The sequence below is a fragment of the Homo sapiens genome, chromosome 22, assembly GCF_000001405.40.
Source record: "Homo sapiens chromosome 22, GRCh38.p14 Primary Assembly".
NCBI classification, from domain to species: Eukaryota; Metazoa; Chordata; class Mammalia; order Primates; family Hominidae; genus Homo; species Homo sapiens.
The window spans coordinates 20,443,392-20,455,599 of record NC_000022.11 but is presented as its reverse complement, the minus strand read 5'-3'; the positions used below and the strand labels follow the sequence as shown (position 1 = coordinate 20,455,599).

General features: G+C 46.9%; 1 protein-coding gene and 1 pseudogene across 11 annotated transcripts in view, besides 3 other annotated features; one reads left to right on the top strand and one right to left on the bottom strand.

Annotated features, from left to right (window-relative positions):
- The window catches only part of KLHL22 (kelch like family member 22), a 54,277-nt gene that overhangs the window by 40,196 nt on the left and 1,873 nt on the right, over positions 1-12,208 (top strand). For 10 of the 11 annotated variants that reach the window (NR_033825.2, XM_017029025.2, XM_017029018.3 and 7 more), the window contains one exon: positions 8,924-9,157. Coding sequence is in view for 9 of the 11 variants with exons in the window: in XM_017029025.2 (XP_016884514.1) it covers positions 8,924-9,157 (234 nt within the window). In the remaining 2 variants the exon portion in view is untranslated. Of the gene's footprint in view, positions 1-8,923; positions 9,158-12,208 lie in introns of those variants that run through there. The other variant, XR_001755341.3, reaches the window with a different exon arrangement.
- Positions 85-254: an enhancer, noted in NCBI's record as "experimental_62743 CRE fragment used in MPRA reporter constructs". NCBI's record gives its function as "activates a minimal promoter by MPRAs in K562 erythroleukemia cells, with activity observed for both the introgressed and non-introgressed 22:20809718 variant alleles {active_cell/tissue: K562}" and the evidence as "EXISTENCE:reporter gene assay evidence [ECO:0000049][PMID:34662402]".
- Positions 2,360-5,671, bottom strand: KLHL12P1 (KLHL12 pseudogene 1; annotated as a pseudogene).
- Positions 4,117-4,286: an enhancer, noted in NCBI's record as "experimental_62734 CRE fragment used in MPRA reporter constructs". NCBI's record gives its function as "activates a minimal promoter by MPRAs in K562 erythroleukemia cells, with activity observed for both the introgressed and non-introgressed 22:20805686 variant alleles {active_cell/tissue: K562}" and the evidence as "EXISTENCE:reporter gene assay evidence [ECO:0000049][PMID:34662402]".
- Positions 4,434-4,603: an enhancer, noted in NCBI's record as "experimental_62725 CRE fragment used in MPRA reporter constructs". NCBI's record gives its function as "activates a minimal promoter by MPRAs in K562 erythroleukemia cells, with activity observed for the non-introgressed 22:20805369 variant allele {active_cell/tissue: K562}" and the evidence as "EXISTENCE:reporter gene assay evidence [ECO:0000049][PMID:34662402]".

The following is a 12,208-nucleotide window of genomic DNA, read 5'->3' as shown; positions in this document are numbered from 1 at the left end:
GGGGTTGGGACTTTTGAAACCCCAGGTGTGGTTAACATGTCTCAGAGGTCATAGTCCCTCTGGCCATGCTAGGGGCTGAGGCCAACCTGGAGTCCACTTCCCTGCTCATATCTAACCATCTGCCTAGTCTAGCAGAAGGACCTTCCAGGGCAGGAGAGGGGCTCACAGCTTTTCCTGAGCAGGAGAGGAAGCATGGGGCATGCTTGTAGAAGAAGGAAGCCCAAGGATCAAGAGCAGAGCAAGCGAGGCTGGCCCTGGGTCATTGCGTGGTCTGGGCTGAAGACAGCAGTAGCCTGTGCTGGCACACAGCTGTGGAGCTGGAGGGAGATGGGAGGGTTCAGAGTGTAGCGTGGAGGTAAACTGATCAGGCTTGCTGATGGATCAGATGTTGGGGAATGAAAAAGGATAGGTCATGTTGGCAGGGCGCGGTGGCTCACGTCTGTAATCCCAGCACTTTGGGAGGCCCAGGCGGGGGGGATCACCTGAGGTCAGGAGTTCAAGACCAGCCTGGCCAACATGGTAAAACCCCATCTCTACTAAAAATACAAAAATTAGCTGAGCATGGTGGCAGGCGCCTATAGTCCCAGCTACTCAGGAGGCTGAGGCAGGAGAATGGCGTGAACCCGGGAGGCAGAGGTTGTAGTGAGCTGAGATCACACCACTGCATTCCAGCCTGGGCAACAGAGCAAGACTCTGCCAAGACTCCGTCTCAAAACAAACAAACAAAAAACCTCACAGGATTGGTACACTGAATATTACAAAAAGCCGATGAAAGAAATAAAAGAAGATGTGAATAGATGGAGAGACATACCAAGTCCATGGATTGGAAGAGTAAGAATAGTAAGAATGTCAGTTCTTTCCCAACCCAATTAATAATACATATATTAATACAGAATTCCTCATATTGATATAGTATTAATACAGGAATACTAGTATTCCTATCAAAATTTCAGGAAGGTTTTTTGTACTATTAAGGGAAAATGAAAATTGAAGCTGAGGTTTGGATATACCCCTAGGCCAACTGCCTGTAGCCATGTAACTGAAACTTAAGCTTTCCTCCCTCAGTGTGATAGCTTTACAAAGAAAGCTTATGCAGCTCCACATGCACAGTAGGGAACAATATTCTTCCTCATTCATGCTTTATAAACTGTGTTGTAACTGCTGTGAATTGGGGCTTCATACCACTTCCAGTTTGGGGTTTCCTGGTTCATGAACTCTTCTTTTACATGCACAATAAGCTTTTTAAAAATTTTTTTATTTTTATTTTTTTTGAGACAGAGTCTCGCTCTGTCACCCAGGCTGGAGTGCAGTGGCATGACCCCGGCTCACTGCAACCTCTGCCTCCCTGGTTCAAGTGATCCTCCTGCCTCAGCCTCCCAAGTAGCTGGGATTACAGGTGAGCACCACCATGCCCAGCTAATATTTATATTTTTAGTATCATGAAGGTTTCACCATATTGCCCAGGCTGTTCTTGAACCCCTGGTCTCAAGGGATCTGTCTGCCTCGGCCAAAGTGCAGGGATTAGAGAAGTGAGCCATCACATCCAGCCTAAAATTTTTTTTTATTGCTGGTCGCAGTGGCTCACGTCTGTAATCCCAGCACTTTGGGAGGCCGAGGATGGTGTATCGCTTGAGGTCAGGAGTTCAAGACCAGCCTGGCCAACATGGTGAAACCCCATCTCTACTAAAAATACAAATATTAGCTGGGTGTGGTGGCACACACCTGTAATCCCAGCTACTGGGGAGGCTGAGGCACAAGAATGGATTGAACCCAGGAGGCAGAGGTTGCAATGAGCCGAGATTGCGCCACTGCACTCCAGCCTGGGCGACAGAGTGAGACTGTCTCAAAAAATAATAATAAAATAAATTTCAAAATAAATAAAATAAATTTTTTAATTTTGATTTGATTTTACTTGTGACATTAGATGTAAATGAGATTATTCTGAAATGTATATATAAAGGCAAAGGAACTAGAATAGCTCAAATAATTTTGAAAAAGAACGATAAGATGGGAGGAGTCTGCCCAATTTCAAGATTACTACATAGCTACAGTAATCAAGGCTGTGGTATGGATACAGTGATAGACACATAGATCAGTGAAACAGAATGGAAAACCCACAGACCTGAGTAAATATGCCCAGTCATGTTACACATGATTTTGGACAAAGGTGCAGAAACAATTGAGTGGAGGAAAGATATCTTTCAGCAAATAGTACTGGAGCAATTAGACATGCGTCGGCAAAAAAATGGATATCAACCCAAGTCTCATACCATATACCAAAATGAATTCAAAATGGTTTATGGAGTTAAATGTAAAACCATAAAACTTCTAGAAAAAAAGAAGAAGAAAATCTTTTTTTTTTGAGACCATTGATTTTTAATATTTTCTTAAAAAAATACAAAAGAAATTAACTCTGTAGTACAGGTCAGTACACTTCAGGGAAAGAGGGAAAAATGGAATTTCAGAGCAAAGGTTGTTTAGGTTATCACATTCCCACACTCCCAATACCCATAAAACAAGAATTTCACTCCATGACACAGAGGAACATTGAATGATAGCTCAGAAATGTTGATAGCTGAGGTACTGAAACTAACAAAAGGATTTTGGTTGTCCTTGATTATTCTGTCCTGTAATGAATAAAATCTACACTAAAGGACAGGTAAGGAAAACTTATAGCAGAAAAAAGACTAAATGTACCAATCACAGCAGTACAAACCACTCCTTGGCAGAAGTGTGCTTCTAAAAGAATGGGGCAGTAATCAGGTAGCTGAACTACTAGGCTACTGTCACTCCCAGTCCATCCCCAAATAAATAGTGTGGAAGTGTAATAGTGTAGTAGTATTTGATTCAACAAAGAAAGGCTTTCACCCCCATTCAAGGTTAACACTGCCATGGCTAGATGACCCCTGGCAGGCAATAAGATGACTGTAAAATCACAGGTACTTCTAGTTTATCCCCAGTTATACTGAACTCCCACATTTATGTCATCTTCTCTCATCCCAACATTGGTTCACTCTTTTATGCTGTCTCCAGTGTGAAAGACCTTGGGGAAATAAAAAGATCATTCAAAGAATATACCCTTCTCAGTCTTCCAGGTTATGTAATACTTCAGTGCTGTTCTAGGTTCACTCACATTCCATCAAATTCAGTTTAATTCACTGATTCTAACTTCAATTCTGATATACAAACCCTGACCTCCAAAAGAAGTGTCAGATGAGTATCTCTCCCTTGCCCCCAAAGTTTTGTGGGGCTCTCCCTTTTGTTTCCCTTTAGAATGGAACTGTGTTGCCCCTAGCTACCTGTAGATTAGAAAATGTATTTGTTCCTGGAAAAAAAAAAGACTTGGATTTTACCAAGTTTACTTAAATTGGTATCTTTCCAATCATCTAGGCTGGATATTGCTCACATCTAGTAGGCTATACTCACCTTAGTTCTTTGCAACATATGAGGCACAACATACATATAGTACACCAAGCACGTGGTAAGTTAGAAATGACAGGAAAGTGCTCCCCAAAGTAGTGGGAGAGGTAATGTGGTCTCTCACATCCATTCAATGTGCATTCTTTTCCCTGGAGTATCTGTTACCCACCCTTCTCAGGAACAACAACCAGGACGAGGGGGAGTATGTGTCAAATAAGTACAATCATCACTGCACTGGTGCCTGTAATCACCCTGTGCACATAGTGAGAAACAGACATTCTAGAAAGGATTCTTGATTCTCCCACTAACTGTCCACTGGACTGGTCACTAGCTCTGGATGGTGCTCCAACAATGGTCACTTCTTGTGGAGAACACACACACCAGCATCACAGCGCTGGGTTCCCATGGATGTCACGACTTCCCAGCTGTTGATGATAGGGTTGTAACATTCAATGCTACTTAGCAGGGACTTACCTTCATATCCTGCAATTGCATAGAGTCTCCCCCGAAGCACTGTGGCCCCTACATAGCATCGTGGAGTGGTCATACTGGTGGCAGTTGTCCGGGAATCAGTGCGAATGTTGTATGCTTCAACGGAAGAAAGGTGGGCTGTACCATCAAATCTCCCCACCACATAAATACGGTCATTCAGCAGGGCTACTCCTGCACCAGAACGCTTGGTGGCCATTGGTGTAACATTAGTCCAGTGTCCTGTATGAGGGTCATATTTCTCAACTGAATTTAAGATATTCAAGCCGTCATATCCTCCTAGACAGTGGATCACTCCACTGGCCACTACGAGTCCGGCACCTTCCCGGGCTGTCTGCATATCTCCCAGCATGCTCCTCTGGTCAATGTTTGGATCATACCGCTCCATACTGGTGTGACGCCTGCTTCCATCAAAGCCTCCAGAGACATAGATCAAATCTCCCAGGGTGGTGGCTCCAGCAAGACCTCATCAGACATTCATAGGGGCCACAGAATACCAGACCCCATCCTCATCTGCTGTGTAGTCTAGACATTCCACTGAACTAAGGCTGGAACGACCATCACAGCCACCAATGACGTAGATCTGGTCATGTAGGGACACTGAGGCCACATAACATCTCTTACAAGTGATGCTTGGCAAAAAGCTCCACTCCTGAGTCTTGGGGTCATATTTCTCTACTGCATCGATGGGAGACTGCTGGCTTCCGAAGCCCCCAGCCACCAAAAGCACTTCATTGGCTCCTAGGCGAGCCCTTGTCCTGGGTCCCTGCATCTGACTCTGAAGTTCAGGCCTCAGATGAAACTTCTTTGCTTCATCAACCAGATCCCTGCATTGTAAACCATAGTGGATGAAAGGCTCAGCATCTATTACATCTGTGATATACCTGAGGGTTAGCAGGGGCATCTGCATATACTGTAGCAGGCTGGGCAAGGAGTCTTTCTGCTCTTTCTTGGCATGCTTCACCCAACTGATGACAGCCTCAAAGACTGGTTCTTCAGGATCCACCTGAATTTCATCGCACTTGATTAGCTTTTCCACCTCTCCTTGCCTCAGAAGAATGAACTCTTCATGCTGTACCACTTCAGGAAAATTCTTCTGGCTAAAAACCTCAGCTGCTTGTGTCAGGTCAACACAATTGTGGGTTTCAGCAAAATCCCTAATACCCAGGCAATTAGAAGGGTCCAACTGACTTTCTAAGAACTCACAGCAGGCTTGTTTCACACCTTTCAACTGAAGCAGACAGGCTGCAGGAAGCAGTTCCTGTACATTCTCCATGTCACATGTACTGTTTCCGTGTACACAAAGTCCAATAAAATTTCCATGGTAGAGGCAGTCAAACCTTGGATGTCAACATAGGGTTTCCCCTTCTATAAAGGTCACTAGTGAACATGGCACAGAAGTAATCACTACAGGCAGCCAGCACAATCTCATGGGCAGGAAAGTCTTTCTGCTCTACTCAATGTCACATCACAGAAGGTATTGCTCTTCCCAACGGAGTTCATTGAACTGAGGATTGATTTAGCATGAGTATTTGTCATTATGTCTTTGGGGGCCATAATGCCTCCCATAAAGCAGTGCGGAGAAAGAACAAAAATAGGTCCTTGGATTCTGCAACTCTGCTTCTGATCCCACACAGCCGCGCCAGGGCCTGTCCCCAGCCTGTGGGGATGGAGTGGGGTGCGGGTCCAGCAGGTGGCTCAGGAGGAGCCGAAGCGTCGCCGCCGCCGCCCCGGCCCGGAGGCTCTGGAGCTGTCCGGGTCTGCTCCCTGCGGCCACGCGACGTGATGACCAGAAGAAAATCTTGAGGATCTAGCTAGGGCTAGGCAAGGAATTCTTAGACTTGACCCCAAAAGCATGAGCCATAAAAAGAAAAATTGATAAGCTGGACTTCATCAAAATTAAAAAATATTTGCAAACCACCTATCTGACAAAGGACTAGTATTAAATAAATACATATATAAACAACTCTTAAAACTCAATAAACGGCCAGGTGTGGTGGCTCACACCTGTAATCCCAGCACTTTGAAAGGCTGAAGTGAGCGGATCACGAGGTCAGGAGTTCGAGACCAGAGACCAGCCTGGCCAACATGGTGAAACCCCATCTCTACTAAAACTACAAAAATTAGTTGGGCGCGGTGGCACACGCCTGTAATCCCAGCTACTTGGGAGGCTGAGGCAGGAGAATTGCTTGAACCTGGGAGGCAGAGGTTGCAGTGAGCCGAGACCGTGCCTTTGCACTCCAGCCTGGGCGACAGAGTGAGACTCCATCTCAAAAACAAAAAACCTTGGCAAAATACTGCAAATAACCCCATTAAAAAGAGGGCAAAAGAAGCCGGGCACGGTGGCTCACACCTGTAATCCCAGCACTTTGGGAGGCCAAGGTGGGTGGATCACGAGGTCAGGAGATTGAGACCATCCTGGCTAACACGGTGAAACCCCATCTCTACTAAAAATACAAAAAATTAGCTGGATGTGGTGGCGGACGTCTATAGTCCCAGCTACTTGGGAGGCTGAGGCAGGAGAATGGTGTGAACCCAGGAGGCAGAGGGTGCAGTGAGCTGAGATTGTGCCACTGCACTCCAGCCTGGGCGACACGGCAAGACTCTGTCTCAAAAAAAAACAAACAAAACAAAACAAAACAAAACAAAAAACAGAAGGCAAAAGAGTTGAAGAAACATTTCACTGAAGAGGATGTATAGATGGCAAATAAGCATATAAGGAGATATGTAACATTATTAGCTATCAGGGAAATGCAAATTAAAGCCACAGTGAGAGAACTACCTCAGGATGACTAAAATAAAAAGTAGTGAAAATACGAAATACTGGTGACTGTGCAGGGAAACTATGCTCATGGATTGCTGATAGGAATGTGAAATGGTACAGCCACTCTGGAAAACAGATCTGGCAGTTACCATCCTGGGTATTTATCCCAGAGAAATGAAAACTACTCTGTATACGTTAGCCAGGCATGGTGATGCGTGCCTGTAATCCCAGCTACTCCGGAGGCTGAGGCACAAGAATTGCTTGAACCCGGGAGGCAGAGGTTGCAGTGAGCCAAGATTGTGCCACTATATTCCAGCATGGGCAATAGACCAAGACCCTGTCTCAAAAAAATAAAAAATAACTTATCTGTACATGAATGTTAATAGTAGCTTTATTGGTAATAGCCAGAAACTGGAAACAAATCAGGTGTTTTCAACAGTGAATGGTTAAACAAGCTGTGGTAGATACCCATGGAATACTACTGAGCAATAGAAAAGGAACCAACTATTGGTACATGTTGAGTACCCTTTATCTGAAATGCTGGGGACCAGAAGTGTTTTGGATTTCAGATTTTTTCAGATTTTGGAATCTTTGCATTATAGTTACTGGTTCAGCATTTCTTATCCAAAAGTCTGAAATGCATTTCCTTTGAGTGCCGTGTTTGTGCTCAAAAAGTCTCAGATTTTGGAGGTACTCAACCTGTACATGCAACAACCTGGTAGAACCTGGGTTGGGGTAGAAAGCCAATGTCAAAAGGTTGTATACTGATTTAATTCAGACAACACTCTTGAAGTTACAAAACTGTAGAAATAGAGAAGAGATTGGTGGTTTCCAGGGCTTAAGGAAGGGATTAGGGTAAGGGAGGTGAGTGGATGTCACCCTAAAGGGCAGCCCCTCGGGATCCTGGTGGTGATAGGACAGTTCTGTGGCTGTGTCCACGTCAGCATCCTGGTGACCCTGTGATATAGTGACACAGGCTCCTACCATGGGGGAAAGAAGGCACGTGAGACCTCTGTATTTTTACTTCCAACTACACGTGACTACACTTATCTCAAAATGAAAAGTTTAATTAAAAAGAAAAACCTCGGCTGGGCGTGGTGGCTCATGCCTATAATCCTAGCACTTTGGAAGGCCGAGGCAGGTGGGTCACGAGGTCAGGAGATCGAGACCATCCTGGCCAACATGGTGAAACCCTGTCTCTATTAAAAATACAAAAGTTAGCTGGGTATGGTGGCGGGCGCCTATAATCCCAGCTACTCGGGAAGCTGAGGCAGGAGAATCATTCGAACCCGGGAGGCGGAGATTGCAGTGAGCCGAGATCGTGCCACTGCACTCCGGCCTGGTGACAGAGCGAGACTCCGTCTCAAAAAAAAAAAAAAAAAGAAAAACCTCCCCAGACCCCTACTGGTGATAGGAGAAGACCCAAACCAAACCCTTGGTGTGTGTTCTTCCTCCCCACTGCTCCGTCCACCTCTCTAGACTCTTGTGTTTTTGCCACCCGCATGGCCTCAGTGTTAGTGACTTGCCCAGTAACATAGCTCTGGAGCCTCCACACCCTGAGGGGCTCCTCTACCCTCAAAACACCCAGGGCCTTGCCTTGGGGCCTTCTGTTGGCCTGCTGGGTGTGAGTGGGTGGGTTCCGGAAGTGGTAGGGCCAGGGTAAGAGGTGCCCATGATGGGGGCAGGCTGGGCCCTATGGAGATAGCCCAACAGAGGGAGGGTAAAAAGCCCACAGAAGGTTCAGGACCAGAATCAAGAACCATGTGTATTTTTCTCCCCACATCATGAGTTTAGTGTCAGATATTATTTACAAACATTTTAAAAGCAGGGTCAGCAGGCCCGGAGGATTGCATGTCCAGTGGGAGTGGGGGAGGGGTGGAGGCCACTGAGGGTGGGTCAGCGGTCCCCAGGGTTCTGTGGCTTCTTCCAGACTGGCTTGGAAAAAATGCTTTTATTTTCTTGGAGTTCCCCCATGCAGATGTTAACTTTAGGAGCAAAGGAAAGACAAAGGCTACATTTCATTTCTGAGTCTATAGATGTATCCGCTATTGGGAAGAGGTTAGAGGTCAATGACTAGGACAGTATGTCCCATGAGAATCGAGGGAGGATTCTTGTCTGTATGTGAGTGGGAAGTGGTGAAGCCTCACAGCGTTGTCAGGCAGGTGTGGGGTGGTGATTGGCCTTGACAGAGTACCCAGCCACCCTTCCTCACTGCCCTCTCACGCCATTTCTCCTGGTGGCTCCACACAGGTGTATGCCCACGCAGGCGCGACGCTGGAGGGGAAGATGTATATCACCTGCGGCCGCAGAGGGGAGGATTACCTGAAAGAGACACACTGCTACGATCCAGGCAGCAACACTTGGCACACACTGGCTGATGGGCCTGTGCGGCGCGCCTGGCACGGCATGGCAACCCTCCTCAACAAGCTGTATGTGATCGGGGGCAGCAACAACGATGCCGGATACAGGAGGGACGTGCACCAGGTGAGTGGGGCCCGGGGCAGTCCACACCCGTCATCATTCCCAAGCCTCTCAGTTGTTATTGATGGAAAATGTAATTGAATCATGTGCCTTTTAAAAATAGACTATTTTTTAGAGCAGTTTTAGGTTCACAGCAAAATTAAGTGGAAGGTACAGTTTCCATACACCCCCTTTTCCCCCCATACACATATAGCCTCCCCACTGCAGACCTCTCGCTCCAGAGGGGTGGATGTGTCACAGTTGTTGAAACTGCATTGATGCATCACCATCAACCAGAGTCCACAGTGTTCACTCTTGGCACATTCTATAGGTTTGGACAAATGTCACCATGACAGTATCACACACATACACATCTACCTTTGCTTATTACTCTTAAAAACTTTTAGGCCGGATGTGGTGGCACATGCCTGTAATCCAAGCAGTTTGGGAAGCCAAGGCGAGAGGATCACTTGAGCTCAGGAGCTTGAGACCAGCCTGGGCATCATGGCAAAACCCCATCTCTACAAAAATACAAAAATTAGCCAGGTGTGGTTGCATGCCTGTACTCTCAGCTACTTGGGAGGCTGAGGTTGGGGGATGGCTTGAGCCCAGGAGGCAGAGGTTTCAGTAAGCTGAGATCACGCCACTGCACTCCAGCCTGGGCGACAGAGCCAGGCCTTGTCTCAAAAAAAACAAAAAAAAACAACAACAAAACTTTTAGATCCAGGCTGGCAGCACATACCTGTAGTCCCAGCTACTCAGGAGGCTGAAGTGGGAGGATTGTTTCAGCCCAGAGTTGGAGGCTTCACTGAGCTATGATCACACCGCTGTTCCCCAGCCTAGGTGACAGAATGAGACCCTGTCTCTATTCAAAACAAAATAAAACAAAACAACAGAACAAAACTTTTATTATAAAGTTAATATAACCACATTGCCGGAACTTTAAAAAATAGAGATGGGTGGCCGGGCGCGGTGGCTCACGCCTGTAATCCCAGCACTTTGGGAGGTTGAGGCAGGTGGATCACGAGGTCAGGAGTTCAAGACCAGCTTGGCCAAGATGGTGAAACTCCATCTCTACTAAAAATACAAAAATTAGCCAGGTGCGGTGATGGGCGCCTGTAATCCCAGTTACTTGGGAAGACTGAGGCAGGAGAATCGCTGGAACCCGGGAGGCAGAGGTTGCAGTGAGCTGAGATCACACGACTGCACTCCAGCCTGGGCAACAGAGCAAGACTCCATCTCAAAAAAAAAAAAAAAATAGAGAAGGGTGAGGAAAAGCATTCATAATCAGGCCCCTGCAGTACTGTTTTTCAGTATGACCATTTTCAGCATTGACCGTGTATGTTTTCTGCCTGATTGTAGTCAAAGAGCATCCCATTCTGAGCTGGGCACAGTGGCTCACACCCGTAATCCCTGCATTTTGGGAAGCCAAGGCAGGTGGATGGCTTGAGTCCAGGAACTGATACCAGCCTGGGCAACATGGTGAAACTCCATCTCTACTAAAAATACAAAAAAAAATTAGCCAGGCATGGTGGCTTGCACCTGTGGTCCCAGCTACTTGGGAGGCTGAGGGAGAATCAACTGAGCCCAGGAGGTTGAGGCTGCAGTGAACCGTGATGGTGCCACTGCACTCCAGCCTGGGCAACAGAGCGAGACCTTGTCTCAAACAAACAAACAAACAAACAAAAAAGAGCATCCCATATCCCATTCTGCTTCTCTCAGTGACTTTTGTCCTGGGCATTTTCCAGATTAACACTCAATCTTCATCATCCCCTCTTGTGTCTAAGTTTTAACTATTCCAAATAACATGACAAGTAATAGTTGCTTTGTTGAGCTTTTCAGGTATTTTGGATTATTTCCTTAGGTTCATGCAACAGTTCTCAAAGTGTGATTCTCAGACTAACAGAGTCTGCATCACCTGGGAACGCTGTGTTACGAGGCACCTCAGACCCACTGATTCGGAAGCCCTGAGGGTGGGTCTTGGCGATCTGGCTTTTAACAGGTCCTCTGCTTGTGAGATCCTCTGGGCCAGCACATTAGTTTTCTATTGCTTCAGTAACCTATCACCACAAACATAGCAACTTAAGATAAATTTATTCTGCATTCATAAGTCCTCTGACATGGGCCTTGCCAGGCTAAAACCAGGGTGCGGTCAGGGCATCTTTCCTTTGTGGAGACCCTAGTGGGGATCTGCCTCCCTGCTCACTCTGGTTAGAAGAATTCAGTCCCTGGCAGTTGCAGTCCCATTTCCTTGCTAGCTGTCAGTTGAGGGCCTTCTTGGCTTCTAGAGGTCCCCACTTTTCCTGGCTTGGGGACACTTCGTCTTCAAAGCCAGCAATGGCAGGTTGAGTCCTCCTCACTTCTCAGCTCTCTTGTCTGGCTTTACCCTTCCTTTTTTTCTTTTTTTTTTTTTTATGAGATGGAGTCTTGCTTTGTCACCCAGGCTGGGGGGCACTGGTGCAGTCTCAGCTCACTGCAACCTCTGCCTCCTGGGTTTAAGCGATTCTCCTGCTTCAGCCTCCGGAGTAGCTAGGAGGACTACAGGTGTTCGCCACCACACCTAGCTAATTTTTCTATTTTTAGTAGAGACGGGGTTTTGCCATGTCGGCCAGGCTGGTCTCAAACTCCTGACCTCAGGTGATCCACGCACCTCAGCCTCCCAAAGTGCTAGGATTACAGGCGTGAGCCACCACCCCCGGCCTCCCCTTCCACTTTTTTTGTTTGTTTGTTTGAGACAGAGTCTCGCTCTGTCGCCAGGCTGGAGTGCAGTGGTGCTCTTGGCTCACTGCACCCTTTGCCTCCTGGGTTCAAGTGATTCTCCTGCCTCAGCCTCCCGAGTAGCTGGGGTTACAGGCATGTGCCACCATGCCCAGCTGATTTTTGTATTTTTAGTAGAGACGAGGTTTCACCATGTTGGCCAGGATGGTCTTGATCTCTTGACCTTGTGATCAGCCCGCCTTGGCCTCCCAAAGTGCTGGGATTACAGGCGTGAGCCACCACGCCCGGCCTCTCCCCTTCCACTTTTAAGGGCTCATGCAATTGGATGGATCACCTGGAAAATCCAGGAAAACTGCC